At 43.8% G+C, this 23242-nt stretch overlaps 1 protein-coding gene across 5 annotated transcripts in view, besides 2 other annotated features; it reads right to left on the bottom strand.

The window, feature by feature from the left end:
• Nucleotides 1–214: 214 nt before the first annotated feature.
• The window catches only part of ASTN1 (astrotactin 1), a 307392-nt gene continuing 284364 nt past the window's right edge, over nt 215–23242 (bottom strand). For 2 of the 5 annotated variants that reach the window (NM_001286164.2, XM_017001341.3), the window contains exons 21-23: nt 19431–19531; nt 11738–11921; nt 215–544 (exon numbers count right to left, since the gene is read on the bottom strand). In NM_001286164.2, coding sequence (NP_001273093.1) covers nt 505–544; nt 11738–11921; nt 19431–19531 — 325 coding nt within the window. In that variant the 3' untranslated portion in view covers nt 215–504. Of the gene's footprint in view, nt 545–3960; nt 7416–11706; nt 11922–19430; nt 19532–23242 lie in introns of those variants that run through there. The other 3 variants (NM_004319.3, NM_001364856.2, NM_207108.3) reach the window with 2 other exon arrangements.
• Nucleotides 22875–23019: an enhancer, noted in NCBI's record as "145 bp enhancer 65 fragment used in the MPRA reporter construct; PK_construct_4449". NCBI's record gives its function as "activates an SV40 promoter by MPRA in K562 cells {active_cell/tissue: K562}" and the evidence as "EXISTENCE:reporter gene assay evidence [ECO:0000049][PMID:23512712]".
• Nucleotides 22939–22956: a transcriptional cis regulatory region, noted in NCBI's record as "GATA motif; enhancer activity is reduced when this motif is scrambled". NCBI's record gives its function as "necessary for full MPRA enhancer 65 activity {active_cell/tissue: K562}" and the evidence as "EXISTENCE:site-directed mutagenesis evidence [ECO:0005528][PMID:23512712]".

Raw genomic sequence — 23242 nt, forward strand, 5'->3', positions numbered from 1 at the left:
TCCATTCTCAGAATCTTTTTCAAGTCAGTTTTCCAGGCAGCCACTGCTGCTTGATCAAATTTAGCACTCAAGTGGAAACCTATTTGTCACCCCTGCAATCAATCTTAGAATTCATAAAAATGTACTTACTTTTGGCATAAAATTGTTATCTTCCAGATTGTTTTTCAAATCCTAAAGAGTTACAAAATTTCTATGTCAGACGATATGTACTAACTTTTAGTTTGAAGTATATATTAATCAAGACCTAGTCAGGAAAGCAAAATACATTTTAGGTAATTCCACAGAGGAAGTTCAAGATGAGAAACCAATTAGGAAGACTTTGGGATTATAGAAGGACAAATAGGAGCAACCTATCAGATTAGCAACATCAGGGCGCAGCTCCTGCTTTGAGGGGATGGAAGGTCACACGGAGGAGACAGAGGTCATGAAGGAGATGCTGGAGATGCCATCTGAGGCAGGGAGAAGGGGAAATACCCTGGCTGCCGTCTTCTTCCTTTCCTCCAATCATCTACAACTCCTCTGACTGTCCCAACACGCTGGAAGCCTGTTGACAAAGGAGTGTGGGAAAAGTTTCAATAGTTTATAAGAGTCAGCACTATGTGATACAGAACAGAACAGTGGAAGGTTGGAAAATGGATGTGAGAACAAAGAGGCAGTGGCTGATTAGGAGTATGTGCTTTACTGTTATTTTCAGTGGTCATCAGGACAAAACGGCATGTAAGGCACATTCAGCCTTAGTTTTATCTGTGGGCACTTAAGTCCTTCCAAACCACAGGGACAGGGCGTGAGTCGGTTTCATCTCTAAGTTGGTATTTCAGAGAACACTGCCTGACTCATTGGACACCAATAGCCTCAGGGGCACTTGACATTTGAATTATTTGAAACAAAGGAAGTTGCTCCTAATTATTAAGCACAAAATATGGCTAAAGTTCTCCCACTGAGAAAGATAGTAAGGAATCCATTACACTAATTTGTACTCCCATGTGAGCAAGCATATCATAGACTCTAACAAAAGGCAGATTTGGTGAAGAAACATGATGTCAAAACCTGTCTCTAGGGGAATCAATCCAATTACAGCAGACACTGCAAACTACCAGAACAAAGAGTTTTATTTATTTATTTTCTCACTTTGGAATAGTGCAGACATGAGCCAAGTCCTGGACTCCCACATATGTCCACAGAAATTGTAAAATTTTATTATATAATGTTGAGGTTTCATTTGAAATCAAACTGCTCATTAACTGCTCACTTGATGTGACAATAAAATAGGAGTTGCTGGTGGGAGCAGGGTTAGGAGGCATTAGGTTATCAAAACATATCAAGCTATGCTGTCCTCAGGGCAGTAGGCATTTGTTCCCCAAGTTCTCACCCAAGCATTGAGTGTTACCATGGATGCATGCAGAAAACAGAGACTGGCACAAAAAGAACCATTAAAGCATAGTAAAAGGCAACATTGAACATACGGAGTGAGAGTCACAATTTCTTGGCTCTGAATCATCCTCACGTGACAGACGGAAAATAAAATAAAAAACCCAAACCAAGCTAAACAACTAAACAAACAAGAATAGACAATCTGCTCAGCTTGTGAAGGTAATCTATGTGCCCTAAGTTGATTTCCTAAAGGCATTACTGGGTTTGCACTGGCCAACCACACTCTCTCTTATTGTCTGACATGGGGTAACTGGGCTGTGACTTGCAAAAATCTCAGTGGGACGAGTCTTTCCCTTGTTAGAGAAGCAAACTCATTAATCATGATGGCAGTATAGTGTAAGGGTTTGTGTCAGACAGCCCTTGGTCAAAATGACTGGACTTCCATTTAACTGTGAACTTGGGCAAGATATATAAAGATACTGAGACTCTGCTTCTTCTTTCTTAAGAGTATTTACTTCAGACTTGCAATGAAGATTGATGAATATTATGCAGTTCAAGTGTTTAGCACAGTGCCTGGCACATAATAAGTATGGGGTATGCACATTTGCATCCAAAAAGTTCCAAATACAAAGGGACAGAAAAACAAAGTAAAATTGGAAGAAACCCTTCTCTTCCAATGTTTTTTCCTTGTCCCAAATTGTCCACTCCCTTCTCTGTCTTTCTTTTCCCAGCTCTGGAACAATTCTCTTCTTCTCCTGGAATTCCTATCTGGGCTCTAAGGTTTACCCCCTCAGAAGTATTAGGATACAGTGCCCCACCCTTCTTCTTGCTCCCCTCCATGGAGGCAGAGACCCACTTCATTGGTGATGGGGACATTGTGGATGTAGCCCAGCCTCCATAAGTTCTCATCTCCTTTCCACAGTGAATTCATGCCCAGGGCAGGGCTTACCTAAATATTCTGTCACTGAGTGGATGGAAAGGCACTGTTGACCCCTGACTGGATTATTTTTATTTAAAAGACCCCTGGCCGGGCACAGTGGTTCACACCTGTAATCCCAGCATTTTGGGAGGCCAAGGCAGGTGGATCACCTGAGGTCAGGAGTTCGAGACCAGCCTAACAGGGCGGAACCCTGTCTCTACTGAAAATACAAAAAAAATTAGCCAGGCAGTGTGGCAGGCACCTGTAAACCCAGATACTTGGGAGGCTGAGGCAGGAGAATCACTTGAACCTGGGAGGTGGAGGTTGCAGTGAGCCAAGATCGTGCCATTGCACTCCAGCTTTGACAACAAGAGCAAAACTCCGTCTCACAAACAAGCAAACAAACAAAATCCTTAGTGGCTTAAGGCAATAACCATTTTATTATGTTACATAATTTGGTGAGGGGGACAGATATTCAGGAGGAGCTTGCAGGGTGATTATTCTCTTTCATGTGGTATTGGTGGAGGTTGCTTGGTGGTATGCAACTAGGATACCACCAGTCTTGGGGTCTCAATACAGCTTCATTCACCTGTTTGGTTCTTTGGCATGGTTATCTGAGCTGGGACTGTGGACCAGAGTGCTGCCATGTGACCACTCCAGCTTGGTGGTCTCAGCACAGTGGCCTTGAATTTCTTAGGTGGTGGCTCAGAGCTCCGAGAGCAAGAGTTCCAGAGAAGCAGGCAGAAGCCCTAAGGCCTTTTACGACTTAGGCTTGAAAGTCACATAGTGTCACTTCCATTACCATCTGTTGGCCAAAATAGTTATAAACCTGCCCAGATCCAAAGGGAGAGGCAGTAGATCACACTTTATATGGGAGGGGTGTCAAAGAATCTGTGGCCATGTTTTAAAACTGCTACAGTCATCATCTTCTTTTAATTGCCCCTGCTTGGGCAGGGACTTGGATTCTGATCATTACTTTTCAAGAGGACCTATTAAGTCCAGGCACTTACCACCTGATTGTTGAAGAATTTAAATAGAATCACATATTTTGATGGTAGCTGAGATAATCTCTATTTAAAGTGGCATTGTAGAGAGAAAGAAAGAGATTACGTATTTTGGGCTACCCACCATGAAGCATTTCATAAGTCAGTCTTCCTCAAATGCTCCTACACAGTGCAAGACAGGAATGTGTCTGGGAGGGCCTTTTGCAACATTTTTCTTCAACATTTTTCTTAAATGGCCAAAGTATAAATTTCAGCAGTTCTCATAGCATCCTGTGCTTCTTTATCATAGTCCTCCTCACCCTTGTGGTGACAAGTTCAATGCCTAATTTTCCCCATAGGATGCCACGCTCTCTGATAGAGAACAAGCCTGTACCCTCTGCATCATTCGTAGTGTCTAGAATATAGCAGCTGTGCAACAAATACATTTCACCGGCTACTTATTTGGAGAAGGTTGTAGAGAGAAGATGGGACTCACTACTATTATTTAATGATAAGTTTATAATTTGCTATGAAATATTTGATTCTTTTTTTTTCCAGTTAGAATGATGACTATAAGGCCCATTATGTCTGGAATCTGAAGTGTAACCTTTAAAACCTTAACAAGTTCCCTGATGAGTCTAACCAGTTCACTCAGATTACTGAAAGACACAACATCCACATACCCAATGCTTACTAATAGCTTTGTTTTATTATTCAGTTAATTATTTCATCTTTTATAATCATACAATAATTCTCTTTTAAACAACACTGTTATACCTGAAGATGGTCATATTATATTCTTTCTTCCTTCTGCAGTAGTAAAGTGTTTTTCTTCATACTCAGTTTTTTTAATAGAACATTTGAATATCAAGAAGTGTAGTTAACTAAAAAATAATGAACGGACCAAACTCCATGGAAAACGATTGCACACTCAATTAAAAGTCTAATGCTATTACAGTGGTTCATGTACATTCAAGAGGAAACTCCAGAGGTCTTGGGGACATGGGAGCTGGGAGAGTGTTGGTGGGATATAAGCACCTCCCTTAAGACCTGTTTGGCAGCTTGAAAACTCAAGGTTGAATACCGGTCCAGTACCATCACCCTTTCTAGCCAGGATGGGTTCCTTCAGGTAAGCATTAGGAAAAGTCAGCAGGTTGAGATCAATAGTGTCTTCCAAGGGGAAAAAATCCTCCAGTCAATTGTACAACCATCCTAAGATTTTCCCCTGCCCTGTTCATATCAGCCTTTTTAACTTGAATGTAAGTAGGAGCCAGTCATAGGAGTTGTGTGCATTGTGTGTGCACACGTGTGTGTGTGTGTACATACATACACACATTCAGTGGGGAGAACTCAACGAGAAACAGGAGGAAGAAAGTCTTGGGGAAAGAGGAGGCCAAAAAAGGAGGGTCACAGAAAGAAGAAGTAAAAGACAAAGATAAAGAAGGTAGAGGAACTTGGGAGACTGAGGGAAAGATAGGAGAGAGGAAGATAGTGTGCCTAAAATAAAAACAGAAGGAGAGGGTACAGAGGAGTGACTCTGATACCTGCTTCACCCTCTCCCTGGCCTGTCAACTCCCACATCATCCACTTCTGGGCAGGAAGGCATCGGCAGCCTCACCCTCCTTTCACTCAAGCTTAAAACACCGTGTTCTGCACAGATATGAATAGAAGGATGGCAAAACAGTAGCAGCAAAGAGATGCTCTGGGCCCTGTCTGATTGGCCTGTCACATCTTCTCTGGCAATGGTGAAATATTTGCCCCTTGAGGCACTTTAACTGAGGCTCCAGCATTTGCCACAGGTGGGACAGCCAATTTTTCTGCTGATCTTTGCTTTGAAAGTAGGGGAATCTCTGAGGCAGGTGCATTAGAGAGTTTGAAATAAATCCTTCAGTGTTTGGAAAGAAGGAGAGAGGAGAGTGAAACCACCCTGTGCTTTATCTCAGCCTCATCACAGGCTTCCTTCCCAGTCATGAGGGTGGGGAGGAGGGCCATGTGCAGTGGAACTAGGGGTCCCAAGGGTGCTCTAGCTCCAAAGGCTAAGGGCGTACTTTCGCCCCTCCTCCTTCCACTGCACAGAGGACATGTCCATGCCACAGATGCTTGGGAAAGGTAAAGCTCTCTGGGCAGGTTCCCTGTGGGGCTGAGAGCTTGGACAGTTGTGTGCCAGATGATACTGAAAACAGAACTGGGTATCCCAGAGTAGCTAAGATCCTGTGCCCTGGAGACCAACAGCCTGAAATCACACTGAAACTCAGTGTGAGTTACAGTGCACAAGGGATTTGAGGCAAGTTGTATAACCTCTCTTTGCCTCGTTTTCCTCAACACTAAAATGGAGACAAGAATAGCACTTTCCTCAGGAGTTGCTGTGAGAATTCAATGATACCTAAAGTGCTTACATCAGCGCCTGGCATACAGCAAGCACTCAATAAATGTTATCTGTCACTACTACTATTTAGAAAAAAAACCAATATAGCTCAATGACTAGCCTTATAGGTCTTGCATCTGTTTGCTGACCTTTCTCATATGTTTCCAGATGAGGAGCCCTGGTCAAAGGCATGGTGGCTGAAGGTGTGTGTTCAGGCCACTGAGTTGTGTGGGACAGCTAAGGCCATTGCTAGTCAACAGGGCCTTGCCAGGCTCTTTCTGAAAGGCTGGGCTTCCTGTTGGCTGGGCCACCATTCATGACCATGCCAATGCTTGGGCAGTGGGATGGAAACAACACTCTAGATGTTAACTGCAATCAGTGGTGCTTCCCTACACAGAATCCCTGTGACTGGATGGGCAGTGACCATGGTGGAATCCTCCTGCTTATGGTCATCAGAGAAACGATTTGCAAAACTAGCAACACAAGCAAATTTAGCAAGGTGGGGATGAACAGAAGTTTTTTGTGATCAATAATAGCTTTAGTTCACTGTAACACTGATATGAAAGTGTTGACCCCTCCTGGTCCCAATCAGACATCGGCCAAGCCTTACCTGTCCAAGGTAAGAGGTGTGGGGGTTAAAGATAATCCAGGCACATGGATATATATTGGTAGGCTGGAGAAGTCTATCCAAAGGAAGCATGGTTTTTTTAAAAAACAATAAACTCCAAGTCTCCTCTTGAATGTGGACTGCTAACTAGTCTCCCAGGTAGACTTTTCTGAAGGTGCAGTTGACAGATGGCATCTTGTTCCCTCTCAAAGATCATGTTGTTCAGAGGAAGGGACAGAGATCTGACAGAGGGAGATTTAATCCCAGTCCTGGCTTAAAATAAGGAAGGATCTCAAAACCCAAGTGGCCCACTGGGGCCTATAATGAAAGCTGGTTTCACCTTTCGGGTATGGAAATAGTGATAGCAAGGCCTAGGAAGAAAACCAGGAGACACAGACAAGGGCCACCTTCCTCAATTTTCTATTGTCTCTCTCTGTGAGCAGGGCCAAGGCTCCCAGAGTGAGACGCTTCCTGAGGAATGCTTGAGGGTGGGGCCTGCGGCAGGCCTAACAACTTTCTGGCCTCACCTCTGCTCCCAGTTGCAATGGATTTAGGAACTGAGTGAGCACAGGGTGCCTACTTAATAGACTTTTCATGGGGAGCACGGCAGAGCTCTTGAGCATTTTGGTAAACTTCTCAGGGAAAAAAAAATGAATGGAACAAATTAATGGCAAAGCAAACCCCAAAGTAATCCTCTAAAGAAATATGGCACTGCATGAAGCCACTGGCTGGCAGATTTCCCAATCATGCAGATGGAGAACATCATACTGAAGAAGTTCTGCAGGGAGCAAGGATCACTTTCTCCCTGGTTTCGATGTTGCTGTGGAGGTTTTCATGTTCCATTAAAAAATATTAAAAATCCACAGACCAACCCAGATGGATCCCTCCTCTTTCCTACTTCATTCTGGCAGCAGCTCCCTGGCCTTATGGTGCTAGATCTCTTTGCTGTCCCCATAGTCGTTGTAGGGGATACTCAGGGTCTGCTCCTCACACGTCTTCCTGAGGTCCCGGCTGAGCTCCGCCCAGTCAAGTCCGTAGGGTTTGATCTCGCTGTAGCGGCACCCCAGGTACTTGAGTGAGCTGCGCCGCAAGCTTATCTTGGGTTCCTGAAGGAGTCCATTGCACCAACTGCTGAGGTCCCCAAGCTGGGAAAGGATGAGACCAGCTTTCCTATGGATCAAGCACAGAGGATACTTAAGTTAGAAAGAAGAGAGGGTCTGGATGAGCACAGCTACTGTTAGTGTGAGACTCTAAACTTCAAGAGGGAAGAGTGTGGTGTGTTTTGCTCCCTATTTTATCTTTGGCACTTGGAACAGTGAGTCCTCCAAAAATATCTGTCAAGCAAATGAATGAATAAATGAATGAATGAATGAATTGGATAAATGTTCAAAGTGAGCAAGCACCAAAAAGAAACAGACAAAATGCATAATATTTTAGTGGAAATGCATGGCTTTTAAAAATCATAGAGTTGGCAGGTTTGAAAGACAAATCAAATCAAGTTTCTTTAAAGCTAGTCATTTATCATCACTAAATGACAAATAATATGCTTGACTGGATATTTCCCTTTCCAATGCCGCTTCTGAACTGGTAGAAGCAGCCGTTATGTTGAACTGAAAAGGATATTAGATGTGACCAATTATGCCTGGATGGAAGTAGCCATAGTGTAATAAAGGCAAGGACAATAATGCCCTCAGTTCATGTTGACACAGGATTAGCCTTTGGGAATATGCAGACTGTCAGTTGCACACATCACCTGATTAACCTCCAGGTGAGCTCATGCTCCATTTCTCCACCTCCCTCAGAAAGTCAGGAGGCCATTATCATTGTCACTTAGCCCCAGTCAAAGGAGAGGGAAAACAGAGAAGGTGATGAAGGTCACCTGAGCCATTGCAGATTCCTGAGAGAGAAGGGAGAGAGGACAGCAAGGTGCCCCAAGTTGTACACACTGGAAAGGAGTGAACCCCCTGGGCCAGAGTGTGAGAGCCTCTGGCATCCAGCTTGGGGGAAAGGACTGGCAACACCATGTCACTGGTGCAGACCAGTGGCACTCACTTCTGGTGTCATAGATAAAGAAAGTGTAGAGCCAGTTCTTAGACCTACTGGATTTGACTCTGAATACAGGAAGAGTAAAAGATCAGGATCCTCTCATTCAGTTGTGTTTTTCTTATTCTTTAAAAATGCAAGTAACCAGAGACCCATGAAGGAAGACACTCTCATTTGAACAAGGTCTTGTGACTTGGAAAACTCAATGAAGACTACTGACTTGGAAACCTCAATAAACACTATTCTTTGCAGCATTTATTGACTGCTAGTCTAACTCATGGGCAGAACCACTCTTTTCTAGTTCCATCAACAATTTGTATTAGTCCGTTTTCATGCTGCTGAGAAAGACATACCTGAGACTGGGCAATTTACAAAAGAAAGGTTTAATTGGACTTACAGTTCCACATGGCTGGGGAAGCCTCACAATCATGGTGGAAGATGAAAGGTACATCTCACATGGCAGCAGACAAGAGAAGAGAGCTTTTGCAAGGAGACTCCCATTTTTAAAACCATCAGATCTCATGAGACTTATTCACTATCACAAGGATAGCATTGAAAAGACCTGCCCCCATGATTCAATTACCTCCCCTGAGGTCCCTCCCACAACACATGAGAATTCAAGATGAGATTTGGGTGGGGACACAGCCAAATCATATCACAATTCCTTCCAGAAACTGAAATTTTATTCACCTTATTCAGAGGGAGGTTTCAAAGAACAATAGCCACATTCCTTTCATTTCTCTTCTACTGTTCTGGCAGAGAGCATCATCAAGAGATGACCTCCCTGCATTTCTAAAGGGTGAGCTGGGAGAAGGGCAGAGATTGCCACTGGAGGAAGGATTTGAGCTTCAGCAGCAAAGTCAAGGGCTAAGAGTAAAGTGAGGTCATGGGAGGGATAGTCATATTTTCTCCAACTTCAATGGTGGGTCAGAAGAAATCAAACACTCTGCCTGCTGACTAAATCATCTGGGGCAGATGATCTGTACTTTCCCTAAGAGCCTCTGCAGTTTGGCCAAGCAGGTTTTCCAAAAGTTGTCATCAACAAGAACTCTGGTGTCCCTTCCTCTCAGTCTGTCCTACTGTATGCCATTAGTTGTTGACAAGTTCATGGGAGGTGAAGAAAGAGGGAGTGGCAGAAGAGGGAGGGACAACATCAGCATCATCTTCAAGAAATGAACAAAGAACTTACATCATCCTTCCAAAAGAATGAATTAAATTAGTCCACACAGCCTTCGTTGCTGCTTTCAGTGCTCACTTTAAATAATAATAATTAATTTGGGATTGCCAAATTAATTTTGGAGCCTGTGACTTCCTTTCTAATTAGTGGTGCAACCAATGTTTTTCTCAAACTATTTTCAACCCTCAGCTCAATCTGGAGGCGTCATCAAGTTTTAATGAAATTGGGTTGTGGTGAACTGAGGGAATCCTCTGTTTGCTCAGAGGAAGTAAGTAGCCATAGACCCTTTTCTACTCATCTTCACAATTAACCCCAAAGTGGGTTGATGTATTTCAACACAGAGGATTTTTCCTTTCCTGTGGTTCTCTCTGAGATCCATGACACTAAACAGCCAAATTTTATTTCCTGCAGACTAATGAAACTACACAATGTTTTCTAATATATAGCCATGAAAGACTAGTATTACACATGAAGGAACCTCCTGGGAGGAGAGTGTGCAGTCAGCGGTGGCCTTACTTTACAACAAGATCTACATTTCTTCCCCTGCTCACTTTCTTCATTAACCAATTTTCTTTCTGACTCTTGAGTCACAAAAGAGAAATTTTAAAAGCACTCCAAATGCCCTTAGAAATCAAGATGATATATGCAATGTTAGTGCCTTTCAAATTGTGACATTTATGTTCCCTGAAAAAGAACGGTATATATACACTCAATAAATGTCAGAAGAGAGAAGGGAAGGGAGAAGAAGAGGGGAGAGGGGAGCAGAGAGGAAAGGAGGGGGTGGAGAGGGAGGTAGAAGGGAGTGGAGAGGAGAGGACAGTTAGAGAATGGAGTTGATATTAGGAATGAGTAAGAATAAGGTAAAGATAAAGATAGAGTATGAAGTGAAGACAATATTTCTTAACATGTATCTACTTTCTAACTCTGGGTTTGTCTCTTATCAAAACTGAGACAAAACAAATTAAAAATCCCTTACATTTTTCTCTCTGGTCTGTAGTGGTGGCTCTCTTTGTCCAAGAACTATCACCCTTTATAAACAGGAAATTATTTATGGATTGTAGAAAAACCCTGCCAGATCTTACACATAAAATCATTTTATTTCAGGAGATAAACCTAATTTTCCTCTTTCCTTCAAAAGTAAGAAAATAGAATGTCCTCAATGATGGTCTTCTGGGAAAGTTTATAACTGCAAGTCACAGCAGGCCAAATGAGGATGATTCTCTCTCCAGTTTAGTCAGAGGTCAGATGGATGGGATGACTTTTGTATGGTACTTTCATTCTGCCCTGTTGGCTGGAGTGAAAGAATTCTTTAAGGGACAGAGGATTCTATAGTGTTGATTTTCTTCATTTCCTTCCTTCCTTCCTTCCTTCCTTGTTTGCTTCCTTCTTTCCTTCCTTCCTTTTAAATTTTTTCCTTCCTTCTTCATTTTCTTTCTCATTCATTCTTTTTTCTATTCTCACAGCTCTTCCCCTATTTTTATTTTTTCTTCATGAGCACCTAAATAATTTGGGGACATATAGGTACCAACATTCCATATGAAAATCCTTTTTATCATATCTATCCAAAAATTTCAGTCTTTCCAGGGAAGTCTGTTTTCTCAAAGCAGCAATATACAGTTATGATTAACAGAACAAAAGAAAAGTGATACATCTGCAGATTCTTCTCATTTCTTACTTTCCAAGCACTCTAATCTGTCTGTGCAACCTAAAAGCAGTGGGTGTGGGTATTAGGCAGTCATGGCCCCTGGGGCCAAGAGAAGTTAGCACACACTATGCGACCCTAGCTCCGGCCAAGATTGATGTCAAGATGGGTCTTTGGCTACTCTCATGTTGCATTTCAAGAGATGTGGAATTTAATTCAAAATAAGTATTTACAATGGATGTAACATATGAAAAACCTAAATGCAAAAAAAATTTTTAGATATCCTCTTTAATAAAATTCCAAATTTCCTTTCACAAGACCATGCTTTTGACTCTTTGAGTTTTAGGGTTTGGAATGCAATGTCAACATGATAAAAAAGGAGGGCAAAATAGGTCAAGAGCAAAATTTTTTTTCAGAGTTCAGGAAAAGCATTCATGGCTGGACTGCTTAAATAGAGCTTATCCAAAACTAATCTGCATGGACTGAACTGTCTTAAATCAGAGGACTGACTTCTCTGATTGCCTAAGCTCATCCAGGAAATCTCTACAACTTCATGGATGCAGTATTACGGCACAAGAGGTACAAAATTTCAAGAAGTCTTTAAAAGGGTTGACTTAGTTTATTGATTACCTGGGACCTAACTCATCCTCACATCGCCAGGTGAATTCCCCAAAACTCTCATAGTGCTGGTTATAGTGGTAGAGGACCCGGTGTAAGGTGGGGGAACCCAGATCCAGGAGGGTGTTGTAGGCGGTCTGCTGCTCCTTCCCACTAGTGTAGCCATTGAAGAGATTGTAGATCTTGTCTGCTATTTCTGAGGAAGGAGGAAAAGGAAAATAAGTTATTTACATATATATAATAATGTATATATATACACACATTATATATGATCTATATCATATAGACATATCACATATAAACATATGTAGATCATTTATAATGTATATATAATATGCATATATATCATATAGTATATACATACACATATATGTGCGTATGTCAATGTGTATGTATATACATATATGCATGTTTACTTATGTGTGTGTGAGTATGCTGTTACAGAAAGAGCATTGAACCCAAGGCCTGAAGAAAGTGATTTGAGTAATTCACTTTGTGTCTGCCCCACCAGGCTTAAGTTTTCTATTCTATAAAATAAAAGGCTTTGACTAGACTCTCTCTAAGGTCTGTTTCAGTTACAATATTCTTTCTTTTACTCAGGTTTTCTAAAAAGACCTAGCTTGAGGAAAAAGCTCATATATTAACACTTTTTTGGAAAGTGCAATCCCAGAGAAGCAGGAGCGAAGATAAAGGGAAATGAAGCAAGAAAGAAGAGAAAGTAAATATAAGGGAGAGCATGAAGGAGCTGGCCATGCCTTCCTGATGAGCTGACTGCTACATTTTGCAGGAGAGGATGTATGAACTGCTGGATCGCCACTGGGTCATTCAGGGGTAGAAGGAAAGAATTTATCTCCAGCTTCCATCCATGATTGGTCTGAGTGTGTTCCCATGGGGCATTAACAACCCTGCACTTCTAGGTGGCATGTGCTTGAATACCAGGGTTCCTGCCAAAGTAGCAGGGCAGCCCTGGCAGTGGGTGGTGCGCATTCGGCTCAGAGATGAAGTGAGGCACTGTCAGGCAGTGCTTGCGAGTGATGTGAAGAGTCTGGAGTGGCCTCAAGACTGTGGGAAAGCAGAACCCTTGTTAGGACCACCTAGACCAGGTGCAAAGGCAGATCTGTGGAGACCCAGAAATGGAATCTAGTGTAAATGAGTAATCTTTCCATTTAATTTATGTCTCTGATATTTCTTCCTCAAAGGCATAAATTACTAAGTCTGAAGTTGGTGATGTGGCAAAGTGGAAATGATTTTGTATAGACTTGGCATTTTTTTCTTACAGAGCTCAAAGTAGTTCATCATTAAATATTTTCTCTTTTAATTTGTCCAAAAGGAGATGTATTTACATTTTTCTCTCTAAACAGCTTGGAAACTAAGATCTGGAGAGCAACGTTTTGTCTTGGATGCAGTGTTAATTCTGGGCATGAAGAAATGAAGTCCACAGGTTCCTAAGCCACAACTTGGCCAGTGTGACCATCTGTTAGCTCGCAGCCATGGTAGCTTGATTCCTGGTCAAACTTCCAAGTGACTTCAGCACTGCTGGTCATGACAAAGTCATCCCTGTAGCAGTTTCCAGAGTTGGAATGAATAAAGTTTCTACCTCTATCCTGCCCAGACACTGCAATTATTTCTTTACTTTTTTGTCTTACCTGTTGCCTATGAGGACAGGAGCCAGATTGTATGCCCTTACTATCCTGAGTGGCTAGCACAAGGCCAGACAATCTAGTAGATCCAAAAATGTTACCTGAATGAATAGAACTTAAACCTTTGGAAACAATTTAAATTTACTTTGGGGAAGAGTTTCTCACTGATATCTCTTGATACCAGGTGACACCAATCCTGTAGCAACCAAACTTGCAGCCAGCATATTTAGCTGCATTGCAAATAACTTTAGTATAGAAGTCCACTTAGATTTTCAGGTTGTTAAAATTCTCATATTGTTAAAAATGGAATTAAGAAATAAAGAAGATAGTGATTTAGAAAATAAATATCTATGGTATCTCCAGTTGTTTATCAAAGGCCTATGATTGCCAAGAACTTTGCACATGTGATTCCCAATCCTTACACTACCACTGAAAGATGAATACGAATGTGCCTGTTTTATAAATGAGAAGATTTGGGAAAAGGCCAAGTTACCTACCTGCCCAAGGTCACACTGCCAGGGTGAGATGGAGTCAAAACTGAAAACTATGACTATCTGCCGTTGCTATTGTGTACTGATGTGTGGGAATAGATGATGTATAATCAATTTAAGGTACAGGAGGCAGAGTCATGGGATGGAAAATCTGGGATGACTCTCTCTAGTCATGAGCATTGCACTGATTGGGCCCCAGATGCCAAGAAAGAGGGAATCCTAGTAGCTGTGCAGGGGGTCTGTCATTTCTGAAGTTGAGACAAGAAGAGGCCAAGGGACTCTTCTAAGAGCTGTGTTGTATTCCATGGGAAGCAAGGAGCGCTTGCTGAGAGAAGAATGACCGGGGGAGGAAAAATGCTGGTGATAAGACCAGAGCTGAGATAGGCAGATCTGGACTTCCTCTCCCACCCCTGCACTGGTGCCAATCTGTGCCTACTTCTTGTGATAAGAAAGAACAGTCCACACGCCAGGCCCTGGTTGTGGTAGTCTTTGCGGAGGAGCAGTGATGGCTGAGGAGGTGCCTATCATTCTCATAACATAGTAGTCATATCCAGCTAGGGAAGACTAAGGGCTCCCAGCTTTTGCAGCACGTGGGATGAGACCAGTTTCCACCACCAATCTCCTAAAACCACGATATTCTAGCTCTTGGGTGTGCTTAAGAGCCCACATCAGTAAGTCAGACGCTGTCTTCAGAAAGATCTATGCTCCAGGCTCCTAGAGCATGAATATTTCTGGCTCCTCCTATTTCCACAGAAAGAATTGAGAGAATTTATTTTGTTAGTCTTCATAGCATCTCAAGAATTCACTAACTTAAACAATGGAAAATAGTATAGGTATTTTTAGTTATAATTTTACTCAATTGCAGGTTCACAGAAACCTTGAGTTATTCAAGACAGATACCTGTCTTCTCTCTCTTTAACATTCATGATGTTCAGAAATAGATAAGATGCAGGTGAAAATATGGCAAAGAGCCTGTCTACACAGCCTCATCATAAAAAACATGATTAGAAAAGAACTGAGATCTCTCAGGCAGCCGGGTAAATTGGCTGAGACTGAGGCTCTCAGACCCAGACACCATGGCATCAAATGGAGTTGGGCCACACCAGCTGTGTGGCCTGGGACAAGTTACTTAACCTCTCTGGGTGTTAGTTTCCATGTCTGTTCAATGATGGTTAATAATACATACCCTCCAAGATTCTTGTGAGAATAAAAGCTATATTAAATGTCAAACCTTTTTTTTTTTTTTAAAAAAAAGCACAATGTTTGGACATAGTAAGCTTGTATTTATTGATTTATCAACTAAAATTGTTTTCGAGTGCTTACTATGTGCCTGACAGTTTTCTATGTACGTGCACTACGTTGGACAAAAATCCTCACCCTTATGGCACTTACAGTCTGGTGGTAGGAGACAGTCAGGTCAGGTAAGCAATAAACATAGTAAATAAGTAAAATATAGTGTGTTCAAAAGTGGGGAAAAATAAAACAAGATGAAGTTCCTCCTTTCACAGCCTCTATATTTCTGTGAAATCTATTCTCCAATAATGAAAAGGAGAACCGAAAGGATTTGCCAATGGGTTGGATGTAGAGCATGAGAGCAGGCAGGGGCCACTTCACAGTCCATCATGTCAGCCCCTTGCTCACAGTCCTCCAGGGCTTCCCATTCCAATCCCAGGCAGAGTACAGTGCCCTATTTTGATGACCAGGCCCTGTGGAATCTTCCCCACACTCTTGGAGCTCCTCTCCTGCTCTTCTCCCTCCCACTGTTCCTCCTTCCTCTTCTTCAAACATGAGCCAAGAATCTCTGTACCGCTGCTCCCTGATCTGGAACGATCTTCCCCTAGATTTCTGCACGACTTTCTCCCTCACCTTCTTCCCAAGCCACTCCAGTTAAAATTCTACCCTCTGCACCTCCTATCCCACAGCCCTCCTTATGTATCTCCATAACACGTATCGCCATCTGAAATATTATACACATTACTGTTTTGCTGTTGTTGGTCATCCTTACTAAGATATAAGCTCCATGAGACAGGAGGTTTGGCTCCTACTGCCTAGAACAGGTATTTAGTAAGGGCTTAATGTGTATTGAATGACATAATGAATTCATGAAATAGGATTATAAAATTCTTGAAAACAGATTTTGATTCTAATTGCTTTTGTGTGTAGCATCTAATAGCAGGGTTCGATAAATGGCTGTGGAAAGAGCAAATAAAGGGATGGATAAACATTTATGTCTGCATCAGGAAGACAGAACAGGCATCAGGGAGGGGTGGATGAGAACTAGCCTTCCCTGGATGAAGCTTCATGAAGAACTCTCGGAAGGCCATGGCCTGACCTAGAGTCTAGCCAAGAGGGTTGATCTCATTACTCACATGAGCTTGAACCTACTGGGGGAAGGCTGGTTTCAGCAAAACATCGGTAGAAACTTATTTCCACAGTGGCTTTAGTGTCATGATGCAGGAAAATTCCTCAGAGAAAGTATCTAGTTTAGGATAAATCTTCACATAAGGGATGAAGTCTGGCTTTTAGGTAGATAATGAGGAGCTGAAGTCATGCTCCAGGTCACTTAAAAGGTAATTCCCATTTGTTATTGGATTTAAACTCAGACCTGAGTGCTGCGAGATCATATTTATGATCACCATCTGGGTGTGAGGAAGACAAAGCATATGGTATTTTGGTAGAACTGCTAGAACTGTATTAATTAGCAAGGATACCCTCAATTAGTCTAAGTCATTAATTCTGGATTTACCTGCACAGGACACCTTCCTGGCTGAAGGATAACAGGCCCTGGGAGTGTTATTTCACTGTCTCAACACTAAATTGGCTCTTCTGCTCCCAGCTCGTCTGCTGGGATTTCAGAAACTCCCTTTATTAAGAAGCACAAGCAGGCAGAGCACATCTTGATGTACTCTGGAGGGCTTGGGTTGACCCGAAGGAGCCCCGCATGGAAAACTGTGTAGTTGTCTGCTCCCAGCAAACTTCCCTATATGGGCCACTCTTTATTCTAGAATTACTTTCTACCTATCCATCCCTGTAGGTAGCATCATGCTGCATCCCCTCCACCTGCTAATCACCTCCCTGATGTCCCACCACCTGCTGCCTACTCCCTGATTTCCCACTACTCACTGCAGGCTGTACTACCTGCAAGGACACCAGCAAATGCTCCAACACAGGAATAGCAGAGGCACCTTCTCGCTACCTGCCTCTCTCTGGCTTAGAGGAAGAAATCAGCAGACAATGAAATAAGGGTGTCATGGGTCCTCTGCAGACAGTCTCTCATCTGGGAGTTTTCAATGCCAGTTTTCCTCATCAGGGAATTGCAGAGACCTTCGAAAGTCATTCAGTCTATACCCTATAAGCCAGCAGCACTCACTCCAGAGGGTCTAAAAAGGGAGAGTTTCGGTATGTAACTTGAACAGTCTTTTAAAATGTGAGCCTTTTCTTCTTCACCAGTATTTAAAGACAAGGGGGAAGGGCTTCAGTCTTTGACATAATAATTCTCTAACCATTTTTTGGTAACATGGACAAAATGGGAATTGGGTAAAATAACAAGTGTGAGTGCTGGTTCTGCCAGATGCTTTGTGATCTTTATCACTTTACTTACTCCACTCTGAATCTCAATTGCTGCATCTATAACATGGGGGTATTGTGCCATTCCTTCAGTAAATACTTATTGACTTCCTAGTAGACAGCAAGCTCTATGGTTGGTTACTGATAATAATGGCAGCTAACTTTTACTGAATATTATTATATGCCAGGCACTGGGTGGTTTTTTTCTATTTTAAATTAATTAAGTCATTCAATTTTCACTAGAACTTCATTAGCTAGGGTACTATCTCCCTCATCCCCAGTTTACCAATAAGTAAACTGAGGCACGGGGTGAAGTAACCTGTTGAAGATCAAGCAGTTAGATGGGAGGCAGGCATTTGAATTTGGGATGTTGATTCCAGGTTCTCTGCAATGAGTTGGTCAACCATGCTGCCTCCCAGGTGTTAGTGACCTAACAGTGGACAAAAACAGACTGGGATCCTGCTCTCATGGAGCTCACTGTCTAGTGAGGTAGAAAGGCATTGAACATATCATTATAATAATAAATATGATGAATGTTCTGAAGAATAAAACATGGTACTGTGAGGATACCTTATTATGGCTCCTGGCCCTTTCTGCCCTGAGGAAGGAACACTTGATCTGAGATTTGCAGAATAAGAGGTGTTCATCAGTTGACAGGGTAAGAGAATTCTAGGTAATGGGACCAATGTGTGCAAAGGCCTCATGGTAGAATGAAAACGGTTTTGGAAGAACTGAGGAAGGCAGTGAGGCTGGAATGCAGAAATTGGCTAAGGGAGGGGGCCGAAGTGCTGGAGAAGTGGGCTGGGGCCACTCCATTTAGGTCCTAATTTACCTGTTTAATATTTTTGTCACAAGAGGAATGGCAATACATGAAAGAGTTTTAAGAAGGGCCCTTGATATGATCAGGTGTCTGTGTTGGAAATAACCCTACCTTTAACATGCTCTGCAGATTAAAGATGAAAATCTTTTCAGATGTTGCATAGTGCTACAATATTAGTGGTTTTAATTAATGGGAATCTAGGTCACTCTTTCCCCTGTGATTTTGCATCATCACAGTGTCACCCCTTGGACATTCTGGGATTATGTCCCTCCTGTCAATCTAATACACCTGGAGTCAGGAGCCATATATAAGATGATTTAAGGGATGTCAGCAAATCAGACTGGACACAATATTTCTCTTACTGAAACTTGCACAACCTAAAACTTTCAGCATCAATGTCTTTGTTAATATGCAAATGCTATCCGTTCAATACTACCACATTAGTGGTTGATAAGATTACTTAAATTAGTGCTGGAGCCCTGAAGAAGTGGTGACCAGGATGATTAAAATTCTGGTTATAAATAGGGTGTAAAAACCTTAGAACAGGGGATGATGTCAAGACCAGCCCGGTATTGTCATGAGGAAAAGGTAAGCTTTGTGCAATGGATGTTGACTGAAGTCAAGTTTTTCTTAATTAACAGGGACTGATCCTGCAGGGGAGTTTGTACTAAAGACAGCCAGCTATTTATCAAAGAACTGGCCCACAACTTCAAAATATACAATTAAAAATTTTGATGTATTTTTGCCAGGGATGGGAGGATTTAGCAATTAACTGCAAATCTGCAGCCTTGCTGTATATGTTAATTCAAAATAATCTTTCAGATGTACAAAAACCTATAGACAGAGTGAGTGACCCTATCAGTATCCTGAGGGCAGAGATCACAGGTACTTCACTACATACGTCAGCACCTGGCATACAATCGTGTATGCTAGGGGGCTTCATCAGTGTCTCCTATGGGCTCCCTGACTTAATGACTGTGTGGAGTAATGCAATACGATGAGGACTTTTGCCAGCGGCTGAGTATTATTTCTGGAAAGGCAACGCTCCTGTACTGGGCCTTGAATTCTCCTTCCCTGCTGAACTCCAGGTTGTTCTATTCAACTCTCTTGGTCCTTCTGTCCTCATAGCAAGTGGTGGGTACCTGGGGCATCCCTTCAGAAACACTGCTAACTTCGATGTCTCTTACCTTGAGCCTTGACATCATCCACCACGGGGCATGGGGTCTTCACGATCACGTCGCTTGGCCTGGAGCGCCGTCCTGTGTTGTCCACTCCCCACAGCGTGAACCTGGCAGGGAGTGGGAGGGCATGGTTAGCAGAAACAGTGTGGCTGGAGGCTAGATCTCTGTGGCCCTAGCTCATGGCCCAGCTCTGCCTGAATGGGTGGCTATGGACCCAGATACTCTCGTCATCCTGGGTCACGTTTACTGCCACCATCCCAGGCAGAAAGATGAAGCCTAGAGCCTCTCACTGCTTCCTAGTGGGTCTTGGGTTGTAATTTGCTGTCTTGGGTATATTTTTTGGCAGAAAGCATCTGGCATCAGGCACCGGTTCTCAAAGTCGGGCCCCCAGACCAGCAGGACCAGCATTACCTGGGAACCTGGGAGCAGCAGACCCTAGCCCAGACCCACTGAATTAGAAACTCTAGGGATGGGAACCAGACCTCTGTGCTTTCCCGGGTGTTCCAGGTGACTCTGGTGCCTGTTAAACTTTGACAACCACTCAGGGGAAGAGTTTATATCTTTGGAAACAGACAGTCAGAACTTGGGTCTGAAGCCACATAGTTATAGTGAATGCCTGTGAAATGGAGATGATAATAAGACTACTTGTAAGCCACTGTGAGAACGAAATGAGACAACAATGTACAGAAATACCTGAAAGATAATATGGTTCATGACATTGCATATATCACACTAGTTCTCTTCAGTTCCTTCCCATGTGCAGTCAACACCTCTATGCAAAGGACCGGGGACAGCTTCCCTCTTTAAAGTGAGATGCAAAACAGCCCTAGTGGAGAGTCTCTTGGCTTGCCTGTGGCTAGACTCTTCATTCCCCACATACAGCTCACTCTGTTCCTCTGAGATACTGCCCACTGTGGACCAGGAATCCAGAGTGGAAACATCGCAGTCTCCATGACAATGTGAAGACATGATTCTAAGGAGCCCCTTCCTAGAAGAAAATGAAAACCTGGCTATTAAAGGCTGAAAGTAAAATTTCCCCTTGGGTGATGGAGCTAGATGGAGAGGAAGAAGAGGAATTCTAGGTTCTGCCACTGAAAAGGGAATCTGAACACAACCATGGCAATCAGCTCTGGTGTCTGTGCCAAGGGCCTCTGATAACCAACCCAGTCGGTCTAAAGAAAATCATTAATGTCGCCTTTCTTGTCACTTTACTTTCTGCTGTGTCACCACAGGAGGCTGCATTTATTGGCAATTATTTTGTTTTCTTTTGGCACAGTTACAGGGAGGGAGAGAGGTGAAAAGGAGAGAGAGGCCCCAAGACACAGTGGTCCAGTTAAATGTCAGCTTGGCATGGAACAGACGTGCTGGTGAAGTAGAAAAGATATAGATAATTGCTTAATGATTCTGGCAAGAAATATGCATTTCTCTCAACAGAGAAAAGACAACCATGGCCCACCACTCCCTCCCCACAAAGACATCCACAGAATGGTCAGTGTGAGAGCCTGTGTGCCCCAATACGCCATTTGCCTTCCCTCTACCTTCTCCAAATTATCATGCTGAATTACGGGGGCCTCACACAGGCAGCCCCCATACCACCTGAACACTGGTCTGCTGGGACTCAGAATGTGACGATCTGCCTAGATTCAGGACACAGCAGGTTGGGCCACACCTGCTGGCCTCCTGCAGGACTCCTGCCCCTCCTTGCTGTCAGACCAGGACCAAGTGTGCAGCCCTTCACTCCTGTCTACAACACGGTGGCTCAATCCACTTCACTGGCCTCTGCCTCATCCCCTGTTCCTGAGTTCTTATAAATGGTCTTACCTTGTACTCAACCCCAGCCTGACCCTGATTCCAAACTCAAGGTCTTCTCACCCTTGTCTCCTTGCCATTCCTCTCCTCTAAGCTCAGAGGGGAGCCCCTACAGCTTCTCGGTGGCAATGCTAGGCTGGCTGGACCCCTAGCAGTGGCAGTCATGAAATTTTGCATCATTTGGCCCCACATGCCATATGCTGATGTTTCATCAGCTTCTGGTACTGTTTCTAGAATTGTGAATGTGGCCACCAAACCCAGCAGCTGGTGTATCTGACCAGCCCCGTGTAGAACTAGCTCTGTTCCTGGTTCAATCCCACAATCCAGTCCCAGGTCAGCACCAACTCCCTCCTCTGCCCACCTGCTCTAGACCATCTTGACCTTCCCTTTCAAGAAGGCGCCCAAAGGTACCACTCTGCAGATTTCAGACTTGTACCTAGTAGTCTGGGACTCCCACAAGGCGAAGTTCCCCCTCATACCCGTGTTTCCTCCATAAAGTAGCAAGTGAGAAAGCCCCAGGATTAACAATGTCATACAAACCTCGGTAGCACTGCCCTCTAGGGGCCCGAGTGAGCCCCCTTCTCCCACAGAGGTCCTGACACCAGGGCTCTTGTGCGTAGGAAGTCCGTCCTCTGCCCAGAGGTGGAGTGGCTTTATCCTTGTTGCAGACTGTGCCCTAAGCCCAGTTCTGGCTATCAGTTCTCATCAGTGTCAGGAGATAGGAAGTCCTGTTCTCTCCCAGGCTGATGCTCTCAGGCCAGCATGGTCACAGGGCTGGGGCATGGGCCTGACCCGGTCCTCTGGTCCTCGCAGTTCGCTCTCCCTCTTCCTACAGGGCCTGCACCCCTGACTGTGTGTCTGAGTCCGTAAGTCTAGGCCCCTGTTCTGGTTTCCATTGCTGAGGTCCTGCCTGCCCAGTGCCCCATCCCCTGTCATTCTGGCCCTGCTCTGCCTGTTCCTGCCTGACTACCAGAGCCCTGAGCATGGTGTTGGAACTCAGGTCAGGGCTGCAGTCTGGCTATGTGCAGCTCTGGGCCACATGATGCTGCCTGCAATATGTTAAAATGTCACCTGCCCTAGACCGTCTATGGCTGCATTCCAGCCACCTTTTGTAGCCCACCATTCCTTAACCCTGGACCCTTAATTTCTAAGTGTCCTTGGACTATAATGAGAAACATCCTACTTCGTTGTCAGATGGACCCCTTCTCTCTCAGTCAATCCCCACCTCTCCCCCCGCCCCCAAGCTGGCCCAAGCTCTGCCCTGTGGCCTGCCTTGCTGTAAGTTCCAGCTAAACTGTATTGGATGCTGACCTAGGATGAAAATACCTGTCCTCACATTAATTCTCACATTACCCCAATGGGGCAATCAGTGCAAAATTTAAGTTCTCCAGCTCTTTCCACTTTTAGTAGTGTATTTTATTTTTAACATGAAGCAGGTATTAGAAAAGGAGATACTTCACTTAACCTTCTGAGGAGGGTCCAGGCTTGACCTAAGGGCCATTCCTCAGTAGTCCCAAATCCCTCAGTTTTGGAGGGCCCACTGAAAGAGCAGTCAGTTTATTTCATCATCATGGCCGGGGGAGCACTTTACACATTTCATGTGGAAATGCCATGTGCGGTCATCTCAGAAAGGCCTCGGCTTACCGTTAGCGTTATCGTTTCTACCACTGAACACTCAGCACCCTCAGAGGGTTAGATGGGATTACTGGGCAGAAGAGATAAGCCCTGCTCCCAGTGGGAAGGCTCATGTGTTAGTATATTTACTGCTTTGTCCAAAACTCCTGGGCTTCTTCCACTGCTGCCTGGCTGGGATTGTTCAGCCCACAGCTAGAGACTTGGTGATGACCCCAACGGAGGCCTGTGTGAGTGCGCACCGACACAGAACAGCTCTGCTTCCAAAGGTGGGTCTTAAAGGCCTGAAACTTGATGTGAGTGGAGGACTCGTAAGCCCCCTGCTAAGGACTGGCTCTCTTGTCTGATACTTTCCCACTTTCCTTCTCCAGTCATGG

Source organism: Homo sapiens, chromosome 1 (genome assembly GCF_000001405.40).
Source record: "Homo sapiens chromosome 1, GRCh38.p14 Primary Assembly".
NCBI lineage: Eukaryota > Metazoa > Chordata > Mammalia > Primates > Hominidae > Homo > Homo sapiens.